The sequence below is a fragment of the Homo sapiens genome, chromosome 11 (assembly GCF_000001405.40).
Source record: "Homo sapiens chromosome 11, GRCh38.p14 Primary Assembly".
NCBI lineage: Eukaryota > Metazoa > Chordata > Mammalia > Primates > Hominidae > Homo > Homo sapiens.
In genome coordinates this window covers 32,701,429-32,728,392 of record NC_000011.10, presented here as the reverse complement: position 1 = coordinate 32,728,392, position 26,964 = coordinate 32,701,429, and the positions used below count along the sequence as shown (strand labels likewise).

At 37.1% G+C, this 26,964-nt stretch overlaps 1 protein-coding gene across 4 annotated transcripts in view; it reads left to right on the top strand.

Annotated features, from left to right (window-relative positions):
* The window catches only part of CCDC73 (coiled-coil domain containing 73), a 227,865-nt gene that overhangs the window by 102,193 nt on the left and 98,708 nt on the right, over positions 1-26,964 (top strand). For all 4 annotated transcript variants that reach the window (XM_047427029.1, NM_001008391.4, XM_047427030.1 and 1 more), the window contains 2 exons: positions 10,246-10,317; positions 25,449-25,520. In XM_047427029.1, coding sequence (XP_047282985.1) covers positions 10,246-10,317; positions 25,449-25,520 — 144 coding nt within the window. The remainder of the gene's footprint in view (positions 1-10,245; positions 10,318-25,448; positions 25,521-26,964) is intronic.

Genomic DNA, 26,964 nt, shown 5'->3' with positions numbered 1-26,964 from the left:
GAGCTCCCACGGTTAAAACTGGAGCAATTTGAACCACAAAATAATGATATTATTGGATCTCCTATTAATATTAATAAATGATTAAATAAATAGATAAATTGGGGAGAGAGGAGTTTATTTATTTATTTAGTATTATTTTTTTGAGACAAGGTCTTGCTCTGTTACCTAGGCTGGAGTGCAATGGTGCAACCATGCTTCACCGCATTCTTGACCTCCTGGGCTTAAGCAATCCTCCTACCTCAGCCTCCTGAGTAGCTGGGACCACAGGTGGCACCATCATGCCTGGCTAAATTTTAAATTTTATGTATAGATGAGGTCTCCTTATGTGGCTCAGACTAGTCTCAAACTCATAGCCTCAAGCGATCCACCTGCCTCAGCCTCCCAAAGTGCTAGGATTACAGGCGTGAGCCACCACACTCAGCTGGGAAAAATATTTTACAAAAGAATTTCAGCTATTAAATGTAGGAGGAAAAGGAGAAATAGAAAAATCACCCTTAGAAAAATCACAGTAATAATTGCTGCAGGCCAGGCACAGTGGCTCACACCTGTAATCCCAGCACTTTGGGAGGCCGAGGCAGGTGAATCACGACATCAGGAGTTCAAGACCAGCCTGGCCAAGATGGTGAAACCCCATCTCTACTAAAAATACAAAAACTAGCCGGACGTGGTGGTGGGTGCCTGTAATCCCAGCTACACAGGAGGCTGAGGCAGGGAATTGCTTCAACCCAGGAGGCAGAGGTTGCAGTGAGCCGAGATGGCGCCACTGCGCTCCAGCCTGGGGGACAGAGCGAGACAACGTCTCAAAAAAAAGAAAAAAAAATTGCTTCAGGCAGTATCCACTGATGAATGCCAAATTTGATGGCTGAAACTTTAAGGAGAAACAAGGTAGTTACATAGTGACACAATATTTTTTCTAAATTATTTAGTAATTTACTGTAGTGATTTTATGTCTTGTTCAAAATTGTTTGCTATTCCTCCCTCTGGGAAGCAGAGCTTAATTCTATGCCCCAACACCCCACCCTATTGTGGAATAAGTGACTTGTTTCTAATGACTAGAATATGTAAGGGGAAAATACTAGGTTTACAGTGGAGATACCTGGAAGACACTACCTTAACTAAGTGATTAAAGTGAAAATCTCCAGAAATAATTCATGTTGGTATCAGTGATTCACATGAATATCAAATATTCATGATGCAATGTGATGAAAAGGGAACTTTATTCTCTATGACATTCTTCCCCCACAGCTAGTATAATTATGAAAAAATATCAGACAAGCCCCATTTGAGGGACATTCTACAAGATACCTCAATAATATTCTTCAAAAGTGTCAAGGTCAGTAAAAACAAGGAAATACTGAGAAACTGACAGAATGGAGGAATCTAAGGAGACATGATGACTAAATGCAATGTGGTAACCTGGACAGGATCCTGGCATTTATAAGACTATAAATTTTTCTGAACATGGCTTCAGCTGGATCCTAATTTTTATATATTGTATTTTTATTCAAATTATTTTGTAATTTTTTTATAATTTCTTCTTCAACATATGGGCTACTTAGAAGTATACTTCTTTTAAGAATATTTGGGTATTTTATTTTTTGCTAACTTAAAAAATTGATTTCTAGCTTATTTCTATTGTATCACATAATATAGTCCATATAATTGCAGTCACTTAATATATGTAGAGATTTGCTTTCTGGCCAAGCCTATAATTGATTTTGGTAAATATTCTAACACTGATGAATTTGAAAAGAATGTGTTTTCTGCATTTCTTAGGTGCAGTGTTCTGTGAATATGAATTATATAGATCAACTTTGTCAATCTTGTTAAAATCTTCTATATTATTACTAATTTTTCTGTCTATGTTTTCCATACTTTTTTCTCTCCATGTTTCAGTCTAGCTATTTTTTTCTGTCCTTTCACTTTAATAATCCTCTCTTCAAGTTGTCTAATCTGCTGATAAACTCAATCTATTGAGTTCTTAATTTGATTTATTATATTTTTCAGTTCTAATATTTCCATATGGTTTGTCTTTTATAATTTTCAGTCCTCTGTGGAAATTCATTTTGTTTTATATTTCCTTGAGCATGTTAATCACATATATTTTAAAGTCTATGTCAATAAATCCAATATCTGGACTTCTTGTAGATCCATTTCTATTGTCTCTCTTTTTCTCTTAGTTTTTGGTCATTTGACCCTATCTCCAGTGAAGTAGAGTAAATTTTGATTCAGTGACTGACTTTGTGCATGAAAAGTTGTAAAGGAAATTTGAGGCTTTGGGTGGTATTAACTTTCTTTAGAGAGATTTACTTTTGCTTCTGGAAGTTGGAGTTGGGCAGATTATGTTACTAGTCAGAGATTGAGCTGCCTGGAAGCTGTTTTCGTCTTTGTGAGGAGTAATTTATTTCCACTTTGTACTCTAAAAGTGTAGCTCTTTGGGGTTCCAACTAAAATTCTAGGATATTTGCCAGAGTCCCTCCTCCTTGGCGGGCCCTGAACACTAAGCCTATCCTCATAAGACTGCTGGTGGATCTGCCTGTTTCTCAGCCTCTAGTGAACTATCAGATGCTGATTATCAGGATCACTTCTTTAAGGTTCTCTTCTCTGTATGATCTTGGAGATGTATTCTACATCATCAGTCTTTTTGCAGGATCATGAAATTGTAGAAATTTAGAGATGAAAGTGACCTAATTATAGACCAACCTTCTAGACCAACCTAAAACCCAGAAACTCATACTCACATCTCCCCATTCCTTCTCCAGTGCTCTTCCATTAACATGTATAATAAGTTAGCTGAAATGAATAAAGTTAACGTAAAATTGAGCTATATTGTAAAGGGTTAGATAGCAAAATGTCTTTAGTTGTAATGAGCAAAACACAGTAAGTGTTTTATAAGCTAGTAGGTAGGACAACAAGATATAGTAGTCTCTCCTTATTTTGTGGGGGATAAGTTCCAGGACCTGCAGCAGATGCCTGAAACCTCAGATAGTATCAAACCCTGTGCAATATGTACTGTTTTTCCCGACATGTACATACCTGTAATGAAGTTTAGTTTATAAATTACGTATATAAGAAGTTAACAACAGCTAAAAATAGAACAATTATAGCAATATACTATAATAAAAATTATGGAAATATGGTCTCACTTTCTGCCAAAATATCTTATTGTATTATATTAACCTATTTTTGGACAATGGTTGACTGCGGGTAACTGAAACCTCAGAAAGTGAACCCATGGATAAGGGGGGATTACTATAAAGTTAAAAAAAAAAAGACATCTTCTTACTTCACTAAACTATATTTCACTACTTAACTGTATAGTAATTAATAAAAGTAAGGGGATATTATTCATTTTTTTCTGTATGAGCCTAAAATGGTAATGATAATATTTGAAAAAAATTGAATGTTTAAAATTTATAATGATTTACAAATTAACAGTCCGAATCAACAAAATAGTTTATATTGAATCCACAATGTCTGCATTTTAGAAGTTAGACATCGTTTTTGATACATGTCCTTAACACATAGATAGAATTACTGATAAGGAGTGGGGATGCACAGTAATAGCACAGGAGTAACAAGTCACAGACACCTTCCTTCAGAATTCAGGCAGTTCGCATGTGATGTGAGTAGGGTAGGAATTATGTTGACCTGGAAAGCATATATCTTCAGTTCAACCTACATCTGCCATTCAGCTCCAAGTAATTATTGGCATGTAGAAAAATAAGCTCTGTGCTATCCATCTTTTTCAATTATTGAAGAAAAACTAGAAATACAGATTTCAACATGAAATCTATTGAATTCTAAAAAATCGGAAGTAAGTTGAAAGTTTTAAAACAAAATATATTTCTGAGCCAAATCATCTCTACAATGGGGATTAAAGATCTCTACCACAAATCTTTTAGGCTTTTAAATTATGCATTAATTCGATAACCTTTTATAAACCATTTCTCAATCTATGCCTTAAGAGAATTGAAAATTTAATGGGCATCACATGCCATGCAAATTAATAACTATACTATCACGTAGTATGTATTATGTATCATAATAGAATCATGAGCAAAGTATTAGGGTAGTTCAGAAAGGGCACATTAAATTTGTTAACTATCTAAAGAATAAATTTTTGAATTCTAAATTAGCAGTAAATAAAAGTCAGTGGAGTTTTGGGTGGTTTAAAATAAGAAAAGTATGAGGGAAAACTGGGTAATTAATGGTATAATATGTGGTAAATAACATTAAGCAGCATTTCAATACCCCATAAAATTAAAAATGGTATGGATAGAATCATACCCCTTTCTGATTATTATGATTTGTAGAATGTATATCTTTATACCCCATGGAAAACTGATAAAATGGGTGTTAGCCACATTGCAGAAAAATAGCATTAGAATATATTTGTACTAGAGTAGGATTTTATTAACTTTATGCTTTCTATTATAAATTATTAAACTTTTTATTAGAACTTTAATTTTTTCTTCCATCTGTCTTTAAGCAGCTTTTAAAAGTTATAAAAATTCTTATTAAATGTCAATGAGAAAAAATATTAAATTTAATAAAAAATGTTGTCTCTAACTTCAATAAAGTACCTAGAATACAGAATCTTAATAAAAGTGTTTATTTTTTATTAGATGCCTTAGGACTACAAGGATATAAGTGTTTTTACAAAAACAATAAAAGAGGAGTAATTTGATGGTTTATTTACTCTTTATAACCTTTAGAAAGTGTCATGCCTTTTTTAAAGTGTTTGCTTCAGGCAGTAGTTTTACAAGATGGGCTATGTATTGGTCAGGCCTCTTCAATTCTTGACCCTGAACAGATTTAGGTACATACGCCAGGCACGTGTCCAAGCAGCCAAAATTGTAACTGGGTACTTGTACATTCCTTTTCAAACTGATAATCCACCTCCTACGAAATTGCTCAACTCAGTTTCTCATGTTGTCTAAGAAAATACTAATCACTCTTCCAGATAGTTTCTTGGTCTGAAAAGTACTCAAGAGAAATATTTCTAACATTCATGGGCTAGCCTAAAAGTTTATATTTACACAAATCTCTTTCTTAATAGTATTTGAACCATGATTTTCACATTGGTCAGCTTAATCTATTACAAAGATTTCTGATATAGAAAATTATCTATTAATATTAGAAAATTCATAGCAATTCTTACATTCTTTTGTTTTTCATTCAACAAATATTTCTAGTTTTTATTTTGAGATGTTTTACCAAATAACCAGATTGTGCTTGCATATTTTACATAGGTAAAATGATTTTGAATGGTTTCCTAAATTTGAGGGGATATAAAGATTAACTTCTGAAGTTTTTGAAGGAAAGGAATATATATCATAACAATCCATACTGTTCTGCAGCATCCACAATCTCTTCAAGGTAGTGTAATGCAACATTTAAGAGACTTTGGAGACAGATGATCTGAGTTTGAGTACTGGCTCTGCCATTTACCTCCTGTGTGACTTTAGCCAAGCTATTTACCCTCTTGCTATCTCAGGTTCCTTATGTATAAAATGGCAATAGTAAGAGAACCTACCTCATTATATTATGTCCAGGATTCAATTAATCAATAAATAAAAAGTACTTAGAACAATATCTAGATCATGGTAAGGCCTCAGAACCCACTCTAACCACTGAAAGAGAAGTGGTTAAAAGAGAACCAGACCTACATGATGAAAACAGTATCTTATACATTTTCAGTCCAACTGCTTTGAGAAGAGATGCATGTTTTATGTACACTCCTTCCCAAAACAAATGTATATATGTACATTTATTTCCTTTTTCAATATGTTTTAATAATAGAAAGGTATTACTGTAAGAGATTGTAATCTCTCCTCATTTATGTATCTTGTAGTATATACTGTTGGTATGGATTTCCTCCCTTCTTCCATGTTGGAAAAACCCTAAATGTGTCATAGGGTCCACCTCTCATGACTGTGAGTCAGATAAGTCCTCACTTTAATCACCTGTAAAGATCCAATGTACTTCCCCTGCCAATGACTGGCTTAGGAGAGGGTATGTGACCCAGTTATGGCCAATGAATTATTAGGGAATGTGTGTTGGGAAGCTTCTGGAAAAGCTTTTGTTAACCTTTTTTTAAGAGAATACACTTTTTCTACTGCAAGATGTTCTCTGACTTGTCGTTAATGCCTAAAATGAAAGTAACCATTTTGCAACCATGAGGGGTGGAAAGCATGATGAAAATCACTGATAATGGCAAAATGGAAAGATGAGCAGAATCATAGTATTGATGATATTGTTGAGTGGGCCACTGAAATAATCAATTGTAGAAGCACTCTACTTTTAGACTCCTGTTCATGTGAGATGCTAACTCCCATAAGCCATTGTGAGCTGGATTTTGTTGTTGTTACTTGCGGCTAAAAACGTTCTAAATGAGACAACTTTCATGAAAGTCTATCTTTGAGTAACATAGCATAAGTGTATATATGTGTATGTATGTATAATAAAGCAAAGGACATAAAAGTGAGTCATAGGCTGGGCACGGTGGCTCATGCTTGTAATCCCAGCACTTTGGGAGGCCGAGGCGAGCAGATCACGAGGTCAGGAGATTGAGACCATCCTGGCTAACACAGTGAAACCCCGTCTCTACTAAAAATACAAAAAATTAGCCGGGCACTGTGGCGGGTGCCTGTAGTCCCTCCCAGCTACTCGGGAGGCTGAGGCAGGAGAATGGTGTGAACCCAGGAGGCAGAGCTTGCAGTGAACTGAGATCGCACCACTGCACTCCAGCCTGGGCGACAGAGCAAGACTCTGTCTCAAAAAAAAAAAAAAAGTGAGTCATAGAAAAATATTTCATTTAAAAAGCACATATTTTATATGTTAATATCTACTCTTTGGTTTCTCTCCAACATGTTGTTATGAAAATTGTCAAACATACAGCAAAACTGAAAGAATTTTACAGTGAACACTCATATAACATTAATATTTTTCTATTTTTGCTTTATCACATATCTATCTATCCCTCTTTTGACTTTATTCTGTTGATTTCAAAGTAAATTGCAGACATCAGTATACTTCCTCCTGATATTTAAAATGAATATCATGGGCCAAGTGCAGTGGCTCATTCCTGTAATCGCAGCACTTTGGGAGGCCGAGGCAGGCAGATCACCTGAGGCCAGGAGTTTGAGACCAGCCTGGCCAACATGGTAAAACCCCATTTCTACTAAAAATATAAAAATTAGCTGGGCATGGTGGCATGTACCTGTAATCTCAGCTACTTGAAAGGCTGAGGCAGGAGAATTGCTTGAACCTGGGATGCGGAGGTTGCAGTGAGCCAAAATTGCACCACTGCACTCCAGGCTGGATCTGGGTGACAGAGCGAGACTGTGTCTCAAAAAATAAAAAATAAAATAAGTATCATTACAAAGAGTTTATTATTTCTCTACAGCTTTTTTCCTTACATTAAAGTTTATATACAATGAAATGTACACGTCTTAGCTGTACATTCAGTGAGTTTTGACAGGTGAATACACCTGTATAATTGAAACCTTATCAAGATATAAAATATTTTCATCAACCCAGAAAGCTCCCTCATGCCTCTTCCCAGGCAAATTCTATCTTTAATGCCCACTCCAAGAGATAATTACTCTCTTGATTTGATGTGATTATAAGTTGCATTTTAAATTTTGGTTTCTGCATATTCATTGTTAAAATATAGAAATGTGACATTGTTTTTAGTGTGTTAATCTTGTATCCTGTGACCTTCTTAAATTCACTTACTATTTTTGGGAGTTTTTTTTGTAGGTTCCTTAGTATTTTCTATGCATACAATCATATCATCTGCAAATAGAGGTAGTTTTATTTTTTCCTTTCCAATCTGTTTATTTATTTGTGTATGCCTGATAGTGGCTAAAACTTTCAGTATTATATTTAATAAGAGCGATGAGAATAGACATCCCTACATTGTTTCTGATCTTAAAGGGAAAGCATTCAGTCTTTCACCATTAAATATGATGCTAAGTGTACGGTTTTTGTAAGTGTTCTTTACAAAAAGCAAGGATAATATTTTTATTCCTAACTTGGTAAGAGTTTTTATCAAGAATGGATGTTGAATTTTGTTAAGTGTTTTTTCTGTGTTGGTTGATGCGATCATATGATTAGCGTATTGATGTAATAAATTATACTGATTGATTTTCAACTGTTGAACCAGCTTTGCATACCTGCAATAAATTCCACTCATATAATTTTTAAATTATATTGTTGGATTCTGTTTGCTAACATGTTATTAAGGATTTTTGCATCAAAATTTGTGAGAAGTATTGGTCAGAGTATTCCCTTTGTGCTGTCTTTGGTATTGGTATTATGGTAAATAGGTCTGATAAAATCAGTTAGTATGTGTTTCCTCCTCTTCTGTTTTTCTGGAAGAGACTGTGTAAAAGTGGTGTTAATTCTTTAAATATTTGGTAGTATTCTCCAGTGAAACCATCTGGGCCTGAAGATTTCTTTTTGGGAGGCTTTTTATTAAGAACTCAACTCCTTTTATAGTTATAGGGCTATTTAGATTGTCTGTATTATCTTGGTTGAGTTTTGATAGTTTGTGGCTTTCGAGACATTGGCCAATTTCTCTAAGTTGTCAAATTTCTGAGTGTAAAGTTTTTTTGTAGCATTTGCTTATTATCTTTTTAATAGTTATGTTTTTGTACGTGGTCTCTTTTAGCTCTTTGACCATATTTAAAATAGTTTGATTAAAAGTTTTATGTAGTACATCTAATTTCTGGGCTTCCTAAAGTATAATTTCCATTAATTTTTTTCCCCCATATAATGGGCTACACTTTGCTTTTACTTTGCATGCCTTGTAACTTTTTGTTAGAAACATTTTGGATATATGGCAGCTCTGGAAATCAGACTCTTCTCACTTTCTAGGGTTCCTGCTTCTTGTCTTTGTTTAGTGTGTCTTTGAACTAATTTGCCTTTGAACTAATTTGTAAGGTCTGTTGTCTTTGTTGTGTGTGGCTACTGACTTTGCTGTTATATTAGTGGTCAGCTAGTGATCGCAGAGATTTCTTTAAATATCAAAGGAAACAAAAAATCTCCTAGATTTTGCAGAAGGGCTCTGTGTGTGTGTGTTGAGGCACACCTTCAATACTTAAACCAGGCAGTTTTCAACTCTGCCTGTTATTCAGCAGAAGCTTCAGATTTCTCTAGTGATACCTTATGTTTATGATGTGGGCGAATTCAGGAGTATTACATTATTTCAAACAAAACCAGAGAGTATTTCTAAATGACTGCTTCCTGCTTGGCATTGGGCCTTCCCACTTGTCTTTGGGTCTTTTCTTTGTCCTGCTTCCCAGAGAAACTCTGTCTTTGCAGCTCTCCTTGCTGTATCTCCTTGTTCTTTTTACTTGATGCTTATTGGCATGGTGGTGGTGGTGGAAGATAGGGGAAGAAGGGCGTTCTCTGATATTCTCATTAAACCTTAGTCTTAGGTGAACCTGAGTCTCAGGATGAGATCTTCATGAGTGTTTGGTCCCTCCTTCATATGTAATGCTGGGCCTAGCATGTATTCCTGCCCCTCCCACAATGAAAGAACTGTTGTTGCCTTGTTCTCCCAGTCCTCCTCTTCCCAGCTGCTGCTTAGAGGAGATAAGGAAGATAGGTCTGCCTAGGTAGAATTTTTAGTGATGACTTTTGGTCCCCTTGCCCAGCTGCAGAGGGTTTCCACTAGTGCTTTTAGCTATAGTTTCTGTTGCCCTCCCCTCTGCAGATTAAGGGTTTTGATCTGTAGAGGAAATAGGGAAGATGGTTTGGGACTGCTCTTCCCCTACATAGCCAGTGCTGCAGGGGAAAACTTTTATAGGATTTTTCTCAACCTTTTCTGTAAGCACCTGGTGGGTTTCCTAGAAGAAAAGCCTGCTAGAAAGTACAAACCTCCCTATTTCAGGAGATTCATATTTTTACAGTAGCCTACATTCTACCTTTAGCAATTTATTAAGGACTTTTCGTTGAAGCTTCTTACCAGTCCTCAGTAGCTTATGTCCCAGGTAAGCAAATGTCAGGGTTCTGTTTCTCTAGGCACCTGTCTCTATCCAGATTTTGGGCACTTGATTGATCTGGGACCTCAGTTCTATGATGGACTTGTCTATTTAATTTGCAGTTTGTCTAGATTTTTTTCTTGTTGTAAAGGTGGGAGTATGCTATTTCTATATCTCTCCAGAAAGAGCTGAAACTGGAAGTTTTAAAGTCTTTATTTTTATAGCACTTTTCTTTTTCTTTTTGACTTAGGAAGCAGAAATTCATTATGAAGAGCAGATTGGTAAAATTATTGTGGAGACACAGGAACTTAAATGGCAAAAGGTGAGTAATATGATTAGGCTTTGTGTCCCCAGCCAAATCTCATCTTGAATTGTAATCCCCGTAACCCCCACGTGTCAAGGGAGAGACAAGGTGGAGGTAATTGAATCATTTGGGCAGTTTCCCCATGCTGTTCTCCTGATAGTTCTCATGAGATCTAATGGTTTTATAAGGGGCTCTTCCCTCTTCGCTCAGCACTTCTCCTTTCTGTCACCTTGTAAAGAAGGTGCCTTGCTTCCCCTTCGCCTTCCATCATGATTGTAAGTTTCCTGAGGCCTCCGCAGACATGCTGAACTGTGAGTCAATTAAACCTCTTTCCTTTATAAATTACCCAGTCTTGGGCAGTTCTTTGTAGCAGTATGAAAGCTAACTAATACAGTGAGTATTTTTTTTCTCTCAGATTAGTATTTATAGCATCTATTTTAAAATGTATTCTAATCCTTATTGCCAAGTTAATTTTTAAATTTTCTAACATATTCAGGTGTTAGTGGATTATTTTAAAATCTCAAGAAAATCCCAACTAAAACTGTTGGTAACATTTAGGCTTCCAGAAAACTGAGAATAAGAATTTTGTTCAGGCTTTTTGATACGGCACTGTGAATAACTCTGAAAACTATTTTACATCTGAGAAACACATTGTGTGTTATAGGGGAGTGAGAATATTTTGAAAACAATGAAACCTCATAACTCGTCCCTTATTTTTCCAGGGTGTTATTACATAATGTAACCAAATATTAAAAAATAGTAGCAGCTCTTATTTTCTCCATAGCTTTATCTGTATTGAAGCATTTATGATAGTGCTTCTCATGCTGTTCCATCAGAGTAATCTTAACAACTAAAACCTGAAAGTGTAATTATGCTGATTTCTGTTCTCATTGTTTGGTAATATTGAAACAGGAATTGGGGGTAACATCAGAATCAGAAGTCAGGTGATAGTGGATAGACCAAACTAGAAATAATTGGAATTTCAAGGCTAGACAGATCCAAAGGTTGTGCAGATTGTGGGAGTAAAATCAGGGTTGAATTATATGAAGGACAAGTCTGAAACAGACCTATCTGTGGAGGGAAAGAATATGGAGGGAAAGAATAGGTAAATACTAAGTACAACTAATTTCAAGCAGATTTTAAAATGTAAAGTTATATCTTGTTTTTGCATAGAGCTAACAGCATAAAGTTATCACAGTCCCTAAGGTAAGTTTAATGAACCCAATTTAATGACCAACTGCAGTGGCTCACGCCTGTAATCCCAGCACTTTGGTAGGCCAAGGCAGGAGGGTTACTTGAAGCCAGGAGTTCAAGACCAGCCTGGGCAACATAGTGAGACCTTGTCTCTATTAAAAAATACATATATTAGCAGGACGTGGTGGTGTGTGCCTGTAGTCCTAGCTCCTCGGGAGGCTGAGGTGGGAGGATCACTTGAGCCCAGGAATTTGAGGCTGTAGTGAGCTATGTTTGCGCCATTGCACTCCAGCCTGGGTGCAGAGCGAGGCTCTGTCTCTAAAAATAAATAAATAAATCCAATTTAAAATGTCAAGAACATATTTTTGGTACTTAAGCTTATTCTAAGGTTTATGTGGAAATAAACATACAAGAGTGGCTGGGAAATTTAAAAAGAAGGGAATGAAATAGTCATACTTGATTCTTAAACATAATATAAAGCTGTCATAATTAAAATAGCTTGGTGCAGTATACATAGTTATTTAGTAGAACACAACAGAATCTAGAAATAGATCCAAATACATAAGATAATTTAGTGAATGTTAACGGTGGCCTTTAAATCAGTGGGGAATAATGGATTATTCAAGAAATGGTATTAGAGCTGGATTCCATCTGAAGAAAAAGCCAGATTCCTACCTTTACCAACTTTTAGAAAAACAAGAACTTTCATATGTTGTTAGCAGTGTAAATTAGAACTGCCTGGTTGCATTCCCTCAAATATCACCAAACAACTTGTTAATAAAGCAGGTATGTTTATTGAAACTCATTGCAGTAAGTGAAAACACTACTTTTACAGAGTCTTAGTATTTCAAAAGGTGCAAATCAGTATTGGACTATGTAGAGGGTTATAGGGTCTAGGTGCAAGCAGATTTAGGCAGATCTTTTAAGGGAGGATATTGATGGGGATTGGGCAAATTTTGTAATGCAGTATTTTAGGATTGTGAATGTGGCAACATTGAAGCTCTTGAAGCTACTCTTGAGAATAAATAGTTGTTTGATAAACCAGATGTTTACCCAAATAAACTATTGTCTCAGATAAGTTGTTTTGCAGCAGTTGCCTGAAACAAACAGTGATATAATTTATTGGTTTTTATAGTCTTATATTTACTGGGCAAAGGTTTCCTGGAACAAAAAACTAAGTTGTGTTGACACAGGTATTCTCAGTTCTTACTCTGAATATCTCTGTTATATTGATGCAGGTGGTTTTAGTTCTCAGTCCCCTTTTGCTTCTTCAACCTGAGCTGGAAAATAAAATAAACTATTATTATTTAGGATGTGATCAATCAAGATTTATGCTGCTTGATGAAGAGTCATGATGGCATGTAGGTGGTTTCTGGTGGTGTGTGTGTGTGTGTGTGTGTGCGTGTGTATCAGTTTTTCCTTTTGTTGGATCATAATTTGTTGGATCACTTTATAGGACAGTGGCTATGCAACAGTACTTAAGATTCCAGAAGTTACACTTCTGAACACACCAACGTGGAAAAACACTAAAGAAAAGTTTGTTATCAGAACTTGTAGATCACTTTAAAGCCAGCAGCTAGGAATACCTATATTAAACCAAGAGAACAGAGGCCATCCCCAAATCAAAAATTTCCATTAGTAATTGGACTCACACCATAGAGTGGCCAAGAATGTAGGGAGCAATATTAAGGATAAGGACCTTTGAAACCATCATGGTTAATAAATAATATGTTTTTACTCACTTAAGGGGCTGGATTAAGAAAGGGGAAAGAAAGTACCTCAGAAAATAAAGAACAAAAGCCTGCAAATAAAAGCATTGCAATCTTTAGCTCTGATTATCTAGGTAGGGTGTTAGCAAGCTTTTTTTGTAAAGAGCCACGTAGTAAATATTTCAGACTTTGTGGACAGTATGGTCTCTGTCACAACCATTCAACTTTGTTATAGTGTAAAAGCAGCCATGGACAGTACTTACATGAATCAGTGTGTCTATGTTCCTATAAAATGTTATGGACACTAAGATTTATATTTTATACAATATTCAGGTGATTTGAAATGTTATTTTTTTATTTTTCTTTTTAACCCATTAAAAATATAAAAACCATTCCTGGCTCACAGGCCATATAAAAACAGACTCTGTAGGTCTTGGGTAGAGGCTGTCTTGATCCATACCTCTTGAATGGTAGCTGTTTCTTTCTGAATATGTCTGCTTCTGAAGCTTTCTCAAGACTCCTTAGATTTAAATTTCTTGATGGAATGGCATTCCATGTATTAGTGAAACCTAGTGTCTGTTCATCTGGGAGACATGAATTCAAGGATCTATTCCCCAGGGGTTAGCTACTGTGCTGGCAGTTCTTGGTAGGATTATTTCCAACATGGTTTCAGGATATTTGTTTTTTCTTTCTGAGGTCATTTCTAGAAGACATTACCTCTGAGCTTTTGGTCATATAGAAGAAAAGCAACTGTTATCTGTTTGTGATAAGACTCTGAAACAGATTACATTAGTCCCTTGGAGTGTTTTGCCACATTTGTCTGAAGTAAAGAAATGTCCAAAATCAGGGGAGAAGTAGCCAACTTCATAGGGCAAACTCTTAACAAGTTTATATGGTAAAAGCCAATGAATATAGGGGAGTATGGACTTCATGGTGTTATGAGTTAGAGGTAACCTTCTTGGTCATGGAAGTTTAAGAGTGTCAGATACAGTGTGCCATTAGTCCTCTCTACTTTTCTTCAAGTTTGAGGATGATGGGGGCAATGAATTTCTAAATAAATGACAAGGTTTTGCAAAGTTCTGTAATGACAGTCCCAGTAAAATGAGTAACCCTGTCCCTGGAGATAGATCCTCAGGTTGGAAACACAAAATCAAGTAATTTGTTTTTCTACTCACAGAACTGTAGCTCTCTGGCAAGAAGTTTTAGTTCATCCTGAAAAGATGGAAGCAATGATGAACATACTCAGAACCTGTTCTAGGGGTTAATTTTAGGAAATCCATTTGAAAGTGTTTATAGGGACCCTAAGGCTTGGATTTACAAGGATAACAGTTTTACCAAGACAGTGCTAATGACAGCTGTACACCAGAGACATCCTCAGCAATTTTAGTAAAATTTCACCACCAATGCTGATTGAATATAATGTTCAGTTTGTCCTTGCTCTGAGGGGTAATTTCCTATAAAATTTTTACAAAGTTCCATTGAGGTCCTCTGGTGCCACCAAGTGTCTGTCCTGAAAGTGTCCTGAAAGAGATTTTCTTTTTGTAATTTATTATCACATTTTTTCTTCAGACTCTGGAGCCAGTTGTAGGCATTCCAAAATAGGCTTTTTAAACTTCTTCAAAGATTTGGCTTTTTGGATATCATGGGGGCCGGGACTGTATGTCATAAAGATTAGCTAGGGTATTTCCTCTAGCCTTAACGTTATCCCTTTCAGTGTGGCTTTATGATAACCATCCCCTAAGGAAGCATTAGAACACTTAAAATGGTTGACTACTTGAAATTGGGATTCCTACTGAGATCGGAAACCATAATTATTTTTACAGTATTCCAAAATCATGGACAACACCAAAGGCATAGCTGCTATTAATGTTAACTCTCTAATGTCTTGGCAACTGGCAAGCTTTGCTGAATAGAATAAGTTCTGTCATCTGGGCTGGTTTAACCTCTGGTAAGGAGTCATGATTTAGGGGTCAGTTGAGACTGTTGCAATATATCCTGCCTGATATTTTTTCCATTTCACTTTCAAAAAATGACCTATCAACAAACAAGATTACATGTAAATTTAATCCGGGGGGAGTTTCTAATAAATCTGTCTGAAGCACAGTTATTGCTTAGACAGAGACTGAGTCGTCATGGATTTTCCTTTCTTTGGGTAATGGAAAAACAATACCAGGCTTTTTGTTAAACTTGTCTATGAGTAACACTTATTAGAAATAGAGATCAAAGAGATATACTTTATATAGGAAGTTATTGATTATCAAAATATTTCTTGAAAGAAAGTTTGGTAGGTGCTCTGTTCAATCCCCATCTCTTTACTACATTAGTATATTTTTTCATTAAGATATAAAAGCATTTTAACCTGTTTCTATTCAAGCATTTATATATGCTATATATAAAATGAAGTGTATATATACATATTTATAATGAATAACATAAAAAGTAAATTAGTATATACATGTACATATATGTAAGCTTAGGTAAGATTATATGACAGACTTATTGGCAATTTTAGGGGGCAATTGTCAAATAGTATTATTGTATAGTTTGTGCAAATTAAAAATTAAAGAGAAATAAGCAATGAGTTTTTCTTTTTCAGTTTTCATGCCTCTTATTTTTTATTTAGATCTTTATTTTAATTGAAAAATAAATATTGTATATATGGGCTACAATGTGATGTTTTGATACACCTGTGTATGTATATGTTGTGGAATGGTTATATCAAACTAATTAACATATCCATCACTTCAATGCTTATTTTTTTATAGTGAGAATATTTAAAATCTACTTTTACCAATTTTGAAATATACATTATTATTAACTATGCTTACTACATGCTGTGCAGTAGATCTCAAACTTATTCTTTCCATCTAACTGGAACTTTGTACCCTTGATCAACATCTCCCTTCCCTCCACCCCAGGCCTCCACCTCCCTAGCTTCTTGTAACCACTATTCTACTCTCAACTTGTATAAGTTTGACTTTTTTAGGTCCCATATATAAGTGAGATCATGTGGTATTTGTCTTCCTGTTAGTAGACTTTCAGGTATTATAGCACTGGGTGGAAATGTGTGGGGGAGAAAGTAATAAAAGTTCATAGGAGGTGAACCTGCTTGCTGAGAAATGTGTTTTTAGTAAATAACAAGGATTGCGCAGCATGAGGTATCATGAAGTCTAAATAAATCCTTAAACCACATTAGTAGAAGCCTCTACTAGTTTGACAGCTGCTAATACTGCCCTTGATAAGGAGCTGGCTTTTGCCACTAGGTCTAAGGGAAGACTGTAATAAACAATTAGACCCTGATGACTCCCATGGTGTTCTGTTAGAGCATTAAGGGCTTGTCTACACTGCTGAGGTACAAATAGGTAGAAAGCTTTATGACAATCGGAAGACCCAGAAAGGGGCGCTGTTAAAGTTTTTGTTTTTGTTTTTTTCAATAGGTTTTTAGGGAGCAGGTAGTGTTTAGTTACATGAATAAGTTCTTTAGTGGTCATTTCCAAGATTTTGGTGCACCCATCACCCGAACAGTCTACACTGTACCCAGTGTGTATTCTTTTATCCCTCACCCCTCTCCCAGCCTTTTGCCTGATTCCCCAAAGTCCAATGTATTATTCTTAGGCCTTTGTGTGCTCATAGCTTAGCTCCCTCTTGTGAGTGAGAACATATGATATTTGGCATAAAGTCTCCAATTTCATCCAGGTTGCTGTGAATGCCATTATTGCATTCCTTTTTATGGCTAAGTAGTATTCTGTGGTATGTGTATACCATATTTTCTTTATCTACTTGTTGATTGATGGGCATTTGGACTGGTTCCATATTTTTGCAGTTGCAAATTGTGCTGCTATAAACATGGATGTACAAGTATTTTTTTGGTATAATGACTTCTTTTCCTCTGGGTTGAAACCTAGTAGTGGGGTTGCTGGATCAAATGGTAGATCTACTTTTAGTTTTTTAAGGAATCTCCACACTATTTTCCATTGTGGTTGTACTAGTTTACATTCCTACAAGCAGTGTAAAAGTGTTCCCTTTTACCACCTCCACACCAACATCTATTATTTTTTGATTTTTTGATTATGGCCATTCTTGCAGGAGTAAGGTGGTATCACATTGTGGTTTTGATTTGCATTTCCCTGATCATTACTGATGTTGAGCATTTTCCCATATGCTTGTTGGCCATTTGTATATCTTTTTTTTAAGACTCTGGATATTGTTCTTTGTCAGATGTATAGATTGTGAAGATTTTCTCCCACTCTGTGGGTTGTCTGTTAACTCTGCTGATTATTTCTTTTGCTGTGCAGAATCTTTTTAGTTTAATTAAGTCCCATCTATTCATCTTCATTTTTGTTGCATTTGCTTTGGGTTCTTGGTCATGAGATAGATGGCAACACAATAATAGTGGGGGACTTTAATACTCCACTGACAGTGCTAGACAGATCATCCAGACAGAAGGTCAACAAAGAAACAATGGACTTAAACTGTACCCTAGAACAAATGGACTTATCGTATATTTACAGAACATTCTACCCAACAACTGCAGAATATGCATTCTGTTAATCAGTACATGGAACATTCTCCAGGAAAGACCATATGATAGGCCACAAAACAAGTCTCAGTAAGTTTAAGAAAATCAAAATTATATTAAGTACTCTCTCAGACCACAGTGGAATAAAATTGGAAATCAACTCCAAAAGGAACCCTCAAAACCATACAAGTACATGGAAATTAAATAGCCGGCTCCTGAATGATCATTGGGTCAACAATGAAATCAAGATGGAAATTTAAAAATTCTTTGAACTGAATGAAGTTAGTGACACAACCTATCAGAACCTCTGGGATACAGCAAAAGTGGTGCTAAGAGGAAATTTCATAGCATTAAATGCCTGTATCAAAAAGTCTGAAAGAGCACATACAGACAATCTAAGGTCACACCTCACAGAACTGGAGAAACAAGAACAATCCAAACCCAGCAGAGGAAAAGAAATAACAAAGATCAGAACAGAACTAAGTGAAATTGAAACAAGAAAAACAATACAAAAGATAAACAAAAAACTGATTCTTTGGAAAGATAAATAAAATTGATTAGTGAGATTAACCAAGAAAAGAGAGACGATCCAAATAAGCTCAACTAGAAATGAAACAGGGGATGCTACAACTGATACCACAGAAATACAAAAGATTATTCAAGGCTGCTATGAACACCTTTATGTGCATAAACTAGAAAACTTAGAGGAGACGGATAAATTCCTGGAAATATACAAACCTGCTAGATTAAACCAGGAAGATATAGAAACTCTGAACAGACCAATAACAAGCAGTGAGGTTGAAGTGGTAATAAAAAAATTATCAACAAAAAATGTCTAGGACCAGACGGATTCACAGCTGAATTCTGTCAGACATTCAAAGTATTGGTACCAATCCTGCTGACACTATTTCAAAAGAGAAAGAGGGAATCCTCCCTTAATCATTCTGTGAAGCCAGTATCATCCTAATACCAAAACCAGGCAAGGACATAATAACAACAACCTACAGACCAATATCCCTGATGAACATAGATGCAGAAATCCTCAACAAAATACTAGCGATCCAAATCCAACAGCAGGCTGTGCATGGTGGCTCACACCTGTAATCCCAGCACCTTGAGAGGCTAAGGTGGTGGATCACCTGAGGTCAGGAGATCAAGACAAGCCTGGACAACATGGCAACACCCCATCTCTACTGAAAATACAACAATTAGCCAGGCTTGGTGGCAGGCGCCTGCAGCCCCAGCTACTCAGGAGGCTGAGACAGGAATTGCTTGAACCTGGGAGGTGGAGGTTGCAGTGAGCCAAGATCACATTACTGCACTCTAGCCTGGGCAACAGAGTAAGATTCCATCTCAAAAACAAACAAAAAAAACAAATCCAACAGCATATCAAAAAGATAATCCACCATGATCAAGTAGGTTTCATACAAGGAATGCAGAGATGGTTTAACAGACGTAAGTCAATAAATGTCATATATCATGTAAACAGAATTTAAAAGAAAAATCACGTGATCATCTCAGTAGACACAGAAAAAGTATTTGGCAAAATCCAGCATCCCTTTATGATTAAAACCCTCAGCAAAATCATCATAGAAGGGACATACCTTAAGGTAATAAAAGCCATCTATGACAAACCCACAGCCAACATTATACGGGGAGAAGTTGAAAACATTCCCTCTGAGAACTGGAACAAGACAAGGATGCCCACTTTCACCACTTCTATTCAACATAGTACTAGAAGTCCTAGCCAGAGCAATCAGACAAAAGAAAGAAAGGGCATACAAATTGGTAAAGAGAAAGTCAAACTGTCGCTGTTTGTGGATAGTATGATCATATATCTAGAAAACCCTAAAGACTCATCCAAAAAGCTCCTAGAACTGGCAAATCAATTCAACAAGGTTTCAGGATACAAAATTAATGTACACAAATCAGTAGCTCTGCTTTACACCAATAGCAATCAAGCTGAGAATCAAATTAAAAACTCAACCCCTTTTACAATAGCTGCAAAACAAACAACAACCAAAAAAACATAGGAATATACCTAACCAAGGAGATGGAAGACCTCTACAAGGAAAACTACAAAACACCACTGAAAGAAATCACAGATGACATAAACAAATGGAAACACATCCCATGCTCATGGATAACTAGAATCAATATTGTGAAAATGACCATATTGCCAAAAGCATCCACAAATTCAATGCAATTTCCATAAAAATACCAGCATTATTCTTCACAGAACTAGAAAAACTAATTTTAAAACTCATATGGAACCAAAAAAGAGCCTGCATAGCCAAAGCAAGACTAAGCAAAAAGAACAAATCTGGAGACATCACATTACCTGACTTCAAACTATTCTACAAGGCCATAGTCACCAAAACAGCATGATACTGGTATAAAAATAGGCACATAGATCAATGGAACAGAATAGAGAACCCAGAAATAAACCCAAATACTTACAGCCAACTGATCTCTGACAAAGCAAATGAAAACATAAAGTGAAGAAAGGACATCCTTTTCAACAAGTGGTGCTGGGATAATTGGCAAGCCACATGTAAAAGAATGAAGCTAGAACCTCATCTCTCACCTTAACAAAAATCAAATCAAGATGGATCAAAGGCTTAAATCTAAGACCTGAAGCCATACAAATTCTAGAATAACCATAAAAATTCTGGAAAAACCCTTCTAGACATTGGCTTAGGCAATGACTTCATGACAAGAACCCAAAGTTATTTTTAAGCCACAAAATTTAAGTTCCTGAGGGAGATGTTCCATTATTGAGCACGTAAGTTATATAGAGGTGGGGGTGATTTCAGAAATGTTTGGAACCTGTTGTCTGAAGCAGCCAGTGAAACCCAGAAAAATTCTTAATTGTCTCTTAGTAACCAGCCTTGGAAAGTATTGAATCGTTTATAATTCATCAGGAGTGATACATTTACCCCCTTGAGATTAATCATACCGTAAATAATGTGCTTTGTTCTGACAAACTTCTAAACTTTTTTTGGAATTTTCACGACCTTGCTAAAAGAGTAAGTTGATAAATGGAATCAGTCTTACAACTCTCCACATCTTTAGAACGTCGAAAAAACTTGTCCCCATATTATGCAAGTGTAGTGTTACAAGGAAATTTAATATCCTTGAGGTTCCTCAGTAAATCCCTGACGCATCACTATCCAGGTAAATTTTTGACTTTCCCAGGAAAAAACAAATAGGTGTTGACTATCTTGATCTAAAGGGACAGTATAGAAAGCACAACACGTATCTATAGTGGTTAAAAAAAAAAAAAAAGTAACTTCGAGTAGCACTGAAGATAACATAGTACTTGGGCTCAGTAATACAAAGAAGTGGGTAAAATGTTTATTTTATTTATGGTCTTAAGGTCTTGAACAAATCTTTATCCTCATTCACTGGGTTTTTTGACTGGGAAACAACAGTGTTTAAAGACTGACTCATTTTTACTGTGACTATTTTTATACCAGTCATACTTCATAAGGTATGACTCATCTTTTCTCTATTAGGCCTTTGGACTATTGGCTTTAGTTCTTCTTTAGCATCTGGTTTTAGAGGTATTTTGTAAACTTAGGTAGAGGTTTAGATGGGTGGATCTGAACCTTACTGCCAATATCAGTAAAACTTTTTTCCCACAAAGTGCTACTTCATGGAGATCTTCAATTTGGTTTGATCATACATAAAGTTACCAGTAAGTCAACATCTAAATTAGCTACGATCTGATTATGAACAGGAAAGTCATCAGGGATCTGAGGGAAAAGAAAAGGAAAATAAAAAACAGGAGAGAACTTAATTTTGCAATTCTGTTTACATAATAGATCCCTATCTTTTAATTTGATGGGCATGATGTTGTAAAGGAAAATAATATTTCTCATTTGGGGAACCGAGGTTGGCAGTTAACAGGCTGAAACAGGGAGAATATCTGTGGATTATTTGAGATACCCCTATCTGTGTAGCTCATTGGCTTCAAGAGAGAGGTTACTTTTAATATTTAGAGAAATTTCTCTTTGCAAGTTTGAGAATAAAATGAGAAGTTGAATACACGATTTCTCCCCATAGCAGTGTCATTGATTTGCCCACTGATTATTTTCCTTTATTTTCTTAGCTAGACCATGACAATTATTTTTCTAATGTACTTTCTGCGTATAAGTACTTATACGTGTCTTTACCAAGAGGCACTCTCCTCTAGTGCTTGATGACCGCAGTGGGAACATTTAGTTATTTTATTTGTGAAGCCATTAGTTTATTTTATTTGTGTTCTAAGCCTTTTTTTTGAAGATGTAGATTTGGAGATCTAGTAGTAGAGCTATTTCCCATTACAAATTTGTTACATATTAAATTCCCTGGTTCTGTATTTAAGGCTATTCACAAAAATTGAGGAAAGAGCTGGAAGTCAACAGCTTCAGAATCTACTCCTCAAGGAACCTATCCCTGAAGTCTCCAGTGGACTCATTCTTTCCTTCCTTCCTTGCAGGTGTGGTTAGAGTCACCTTTATTTTCACAGGAAGAACTTTGGGGATAGCCCCTGAAAGATTTAGTCAAACATCTACAGTTTTTCTAAATCTGCCTGGTTTCCTAAATGGTTTGAGACTTCCTAAGTCATTCTTGTGATGTTCTCACTTTGCCTTTTTCATTCTTTTTTTTTTTTTTCAGCTGATATAGATCTGGGTACAGACAGTATTATTTTTTAAAATTAGCTATGGGAATTAAAATATTTTTGATTACTAACTGCAGAAAAACAAAGTTGTATGAGAATAAAAATGTAATCATGGCATACCATGTGGCTCAATATTGCATAATAATTACATAGTCATAACAGTGTAAATGCTGACTATCAATTTAAGCCAATTTTGATATAACTCTGTTGGAAGAATAGAGGAGGAGCTGTGGGATAATAGCTGTATGAGAAAGTTAAACTTCCAACTATCATAATAGTGTCACAGGATCGTTTGGGTGTCACTTCACAAGCCAGAAAGCTCTGTGGCTGGCAGTGCCTCTGCTTGAGTTTTGCTCGCACCCGCTGGACTTGTTCCATTCACTTGACCTGGCGGGCTGCACTCGGCTTGCGATACTGGCCCAGATCCCATGCCTGCCAAGAGCAAGCCAGGCACACAGTGACGAGGGGTGTGTGAGCGAGTGAGCGTGGGGTCCGGCTGCTGCACACAGCCAAGCATGCTGGCTGCTGCGGCAGGGCAGCCAGCTCTGTGTGAGGCTGTGACTGGAGCAGACGTACTGCAAGTGGCTTCCACTGCAGGCACCAGTGTCTGGATGAGGGGAATGTGGTGGTGCCCAGAAGCTTGGAGATGCTAGGAACCACAGAGCCCAAAAGAGGGTGTTACCACTACTCACAGCTCTCACTTGGGGAGCCCTGAGGTCTGGGCTTGCAGAAGGGCTCCAGCTCTTCTCTTCCTCTAGTCACCTGCAGTGTGGCAAGCAGTGTGGTGTATTTTAGCCTGTTTGTGTTACAGCTATTTCAGTCCTGCTGCCCTGCTTCAGCCCGCGGCTCCTGGGCTGGCCTAGCCCCACTGCTGTTTCCCGTTGAATGGTGCGGCCACCCAGCACTGGCAGAGGCTGGGAGAGCTATAGCGTTACAGCCCCTTTAGCTCCCACCTGCAGCTTGGCAAGCCCACCAGGAAAGTGTTACAGCTTCTTTTGCTCCTGCCATCTGGTGGGTTCTGAGTTCTTGTCCCATGTCCAGGAAGAATGAGGTTACACTGACAACTGGAGGGTTAGCAAGGCAGAGAAGAGCTTCACTGGGTGACCAAACAGCTCTCAGTGGAGAGGAGACCTGAAGTGGGCAGCTCCTTTCTGCAGGCAGGTAGTGCAGATGAGTGTCTGAGTCTGGCTGAGTCCAGGGTTTTTATTGCCTCAGAGTGGAGGAAGTGTGTGTTTATTGGCCCATGGGTGGGCCCAGAAAATACCACTTGATTGGCCAAAGGGATCAAGGAAGTTCTCACTCCTCTGCCACCACTTCATCCAAAACTGACAGCCCTGGTCCCCAGGCTTCAGGCTATCCCTGGCTTGAAGGTGGGTTTTCACTAGGGACATCCCTTCCTGCCAGGAGCACCTCCTGTCACCATCAACATGCTGTCTGTAGTGCCCAGGCTGTCCATCCCAAGGGGCACCTGTGGGCCCGCGCTGAGCCACCCTCAGCCCTCTGGCCTCCCTCCTGTGCTCATTGGTGCCCTAAGTTTCACCTTCAGAAGCAGCTTCCAGAGGGGGCCAAGGCAGCCAGGGTCTGGCATGTCAGCGCTGCCCCGAGTGTGCGCATACTTGTCCTGGTTGCGACATTGCCCAGGCTTGGCTATCAGGACATGTCCACAACTTTGCTCCACAGTGGAGCAGACATGGAGAGCAGGGAGAGGTCAGGGAGTGGAAACAGGTACTTTAAGCTTCAGCTTCAAGGGGGCTTCCCCTACCTGCCCGCCACCACACAGAGAATGCAGAGTGCAGGGATACCTGGGTTTAGAGCTGTGGCTGGGCAGCTGTAGCTGCACCTGGGAGCACGGGCTCCTGCCCCGCCAACTTAGTAGGGCACAGGGCTCCTGCTGGGATCACCTGTTCCCAGCCCCCACTGACTTTGCAGAGCCGTAGCCTTGGCCGCAACCTCCCTTGCTGCAGCTGGCATCCTCACAGTGGTGGCACCAGATGGGCCACTGTTCTCATCAATAACAGGTCACAAGATAAACTTTTAAAATTGCTAACTCAATGTATTATTTAGAAATCTGGAGCAAACAACAGAAAAATTTGAAAGTGGTTGCCACTTTTAGACTTAATTTTTAAATGATGAGAATTATTAACTTTGATAAAAATAGAAGAAGAATGTTAAAGTCATCTAGAATAGAAAGAACAGAACGTGCAACTTCCACCAAAAAGGTGGGAGAAGGAGAAAAAAAGAAATGGAATCATATGTAGATTTTTTTCCAGAAATTCTCTTGTGGTAGTTTTGGTTTGTGAAAAATTATTCCAGGGAACTTAAAGGTGTATATGTTGCCAGGTAAGCATTTCTGCTTAGATGATAAAACTGGTTTTTGTTGTTGTTGTTGTTGTCATTGTTTTTGAAACTCTAACAGTCTGCTTGTATACTAGGACTGTTAATTTGTTAATTTTAATTACTTTTGGTTAAAAGATATTTTTCTTGAAGAAAGATTTGGAGCAAATAATATCCAAAGTTTAAAAGTTTTAGAAGCAATGTTTTTTTTTTTCATGAAAAAAGCAACAGGAAGCAAAAATTTTTATATGATGATTCTATGACAATTAAAAAATTATAAAATTGGGCTGGGTACAGTGGCTCATGCCTGTAATCCTAGCATTTTGGGAGGCCGAAGTGGTGGGTCGCTTGAGTCCAGGAGTTTGAGACTAGCCTGGGCAACATGGCAAAACCCTGTCTTTACAAAAAGTGCAAAAATTAGCTGGGCATGGTGGCAGACATCTGTAATCCCAGCTACTGGAGAGGCTGAGGCAGGAGAATCACCTGAGCCCGGGAAGGTTGAGGCTGCAGTGTGCTGTGATTGTGCCACTGCATTCCAGCCTGGGCAACAGAGTGAGACCCTGTCTCAAAAAATAATCATAAAATTGGTTTAAAGTTGCATTCCAGGAACACAAAATAATATATGTAGAAGGTATGGTTGACTTTAAATTGTGAACCTAGTTAAGATTTAAAGCTGAAAGAGAGTTGCTAGAATTTGTGTTTTAACTTGTCATAATTTTTAAAACAGGAAACTCTTCAGAATCAAAAGGAAACATTGGCAGAGCAACACAAGGAAGCAATGGCAGTTTTTAAAAAGCAGGTAATTTCATAAGGATAGACAAACACTACCATTTTAAATATTGCATTTCCTCCCCCTCCTATGAATATTATGGCAAGCTGTTCTCCATAGTCACCAAAGACAAAAAGGAGAACAAGGTATTATGGGAAGTAGGAAATGAATAAAATCATTTTTAATCACAACTGACAATAGAATGTAAAGTAGTAGCATAAATTTGTTGAGGGAAATTGGGAAAACTATTTTCTTGGAGATGGAAATATATTTTCATCTGTCCTGAATAATTTAGGTGAATGGGATGTGTGTGTTATTGTTCTTTCTCTCCCCTTTCCTTTCTTTTATTAGAACTTCCTAGGCTCTTGCCTCTTCCATAGTACCGCTTTACCCAAGTAGAGTTATAATGTTATGATCAAAATCTGAGATGCAAGTAGGGAGATGACAAGGATTAGAAGAGATGATTATTATGCACTGTAGCCTCCATAAATATCAATCATCAGTAACTAAGAAATAGTAGTACAAAAATGAGAAAAAAAATCAAATGAATCCTTGTACATACCTTCAGCTCATTTCAATTCTGTAGCTTTTCTTGACTAAAATTTCTCTTCAGTTCCTACCAAGAGAATATTATAACAGTTTGAGAAAATGTGCTCATGTAAAATATCCTCTGAAAGTTTCCTTATCTCTATCTCACATCATTATTTTTTCTTCCTTTTTCCTTTCCTATTTTTATCTTCATCTTTATAATACAAGTGTGTGTAGATGTGTTAATTTTTTTAAGCAAATGACAGACTTTCTTCCTTTAATCTGAGATAGGCCTAACCAAGGTTATGGGAGTTTTAACTGAAGGTTAAGGAAGCAAAAGCCAAAAGTGTAGCATAGTATTCTCTAGGAAAGAGCAAGTCCACATCTCTGCTGTCACAAAGGACTTTGGGCAAGATAAGGATACTCAGATATCTGAAGGGTAGAGGAGAAAGTGCTCTTGGGTTCTTTGTTTTTTTCTTTGTGTGTGTGTGTGCTTTTTAAAAGAAGGGGATCTTGAATGTGAGGAGTGTGAAAAAGGAAATAGGGAAGTTCCAAAGAAAAATTTCATTTCTTGAAAATTTTGCCTAATACCCTTGTGTTCCTTAGAATATTTCATAATTTTCCTTTGGTGTGTGTACTTTAGTTTTTCTGTTTTAAAATGTCATTATTTTTATTTATTTATTTATTTAGAGATAGTCTTGCCCTGTAGCCCAGGCTGGAGTGCAGTAGCGTGATCTCAGCTCACTGCAATCTCCAACTCCAGGGCTCAAACGATCCTCCCGCCTCCCAAGTAGCTGGGACTACAGGTGCTTAAAAAAATTTTTTTTTAAAAGTTTTTTGTCAAGGAAGTCTTACTACATTGCCCAGGCTGGTCTCAAACTCTTGGGCTCAAGCAATTCTCTTGCCTCAGCTTCCCAAAGTATTGGGATTACAGGCATGAACTACC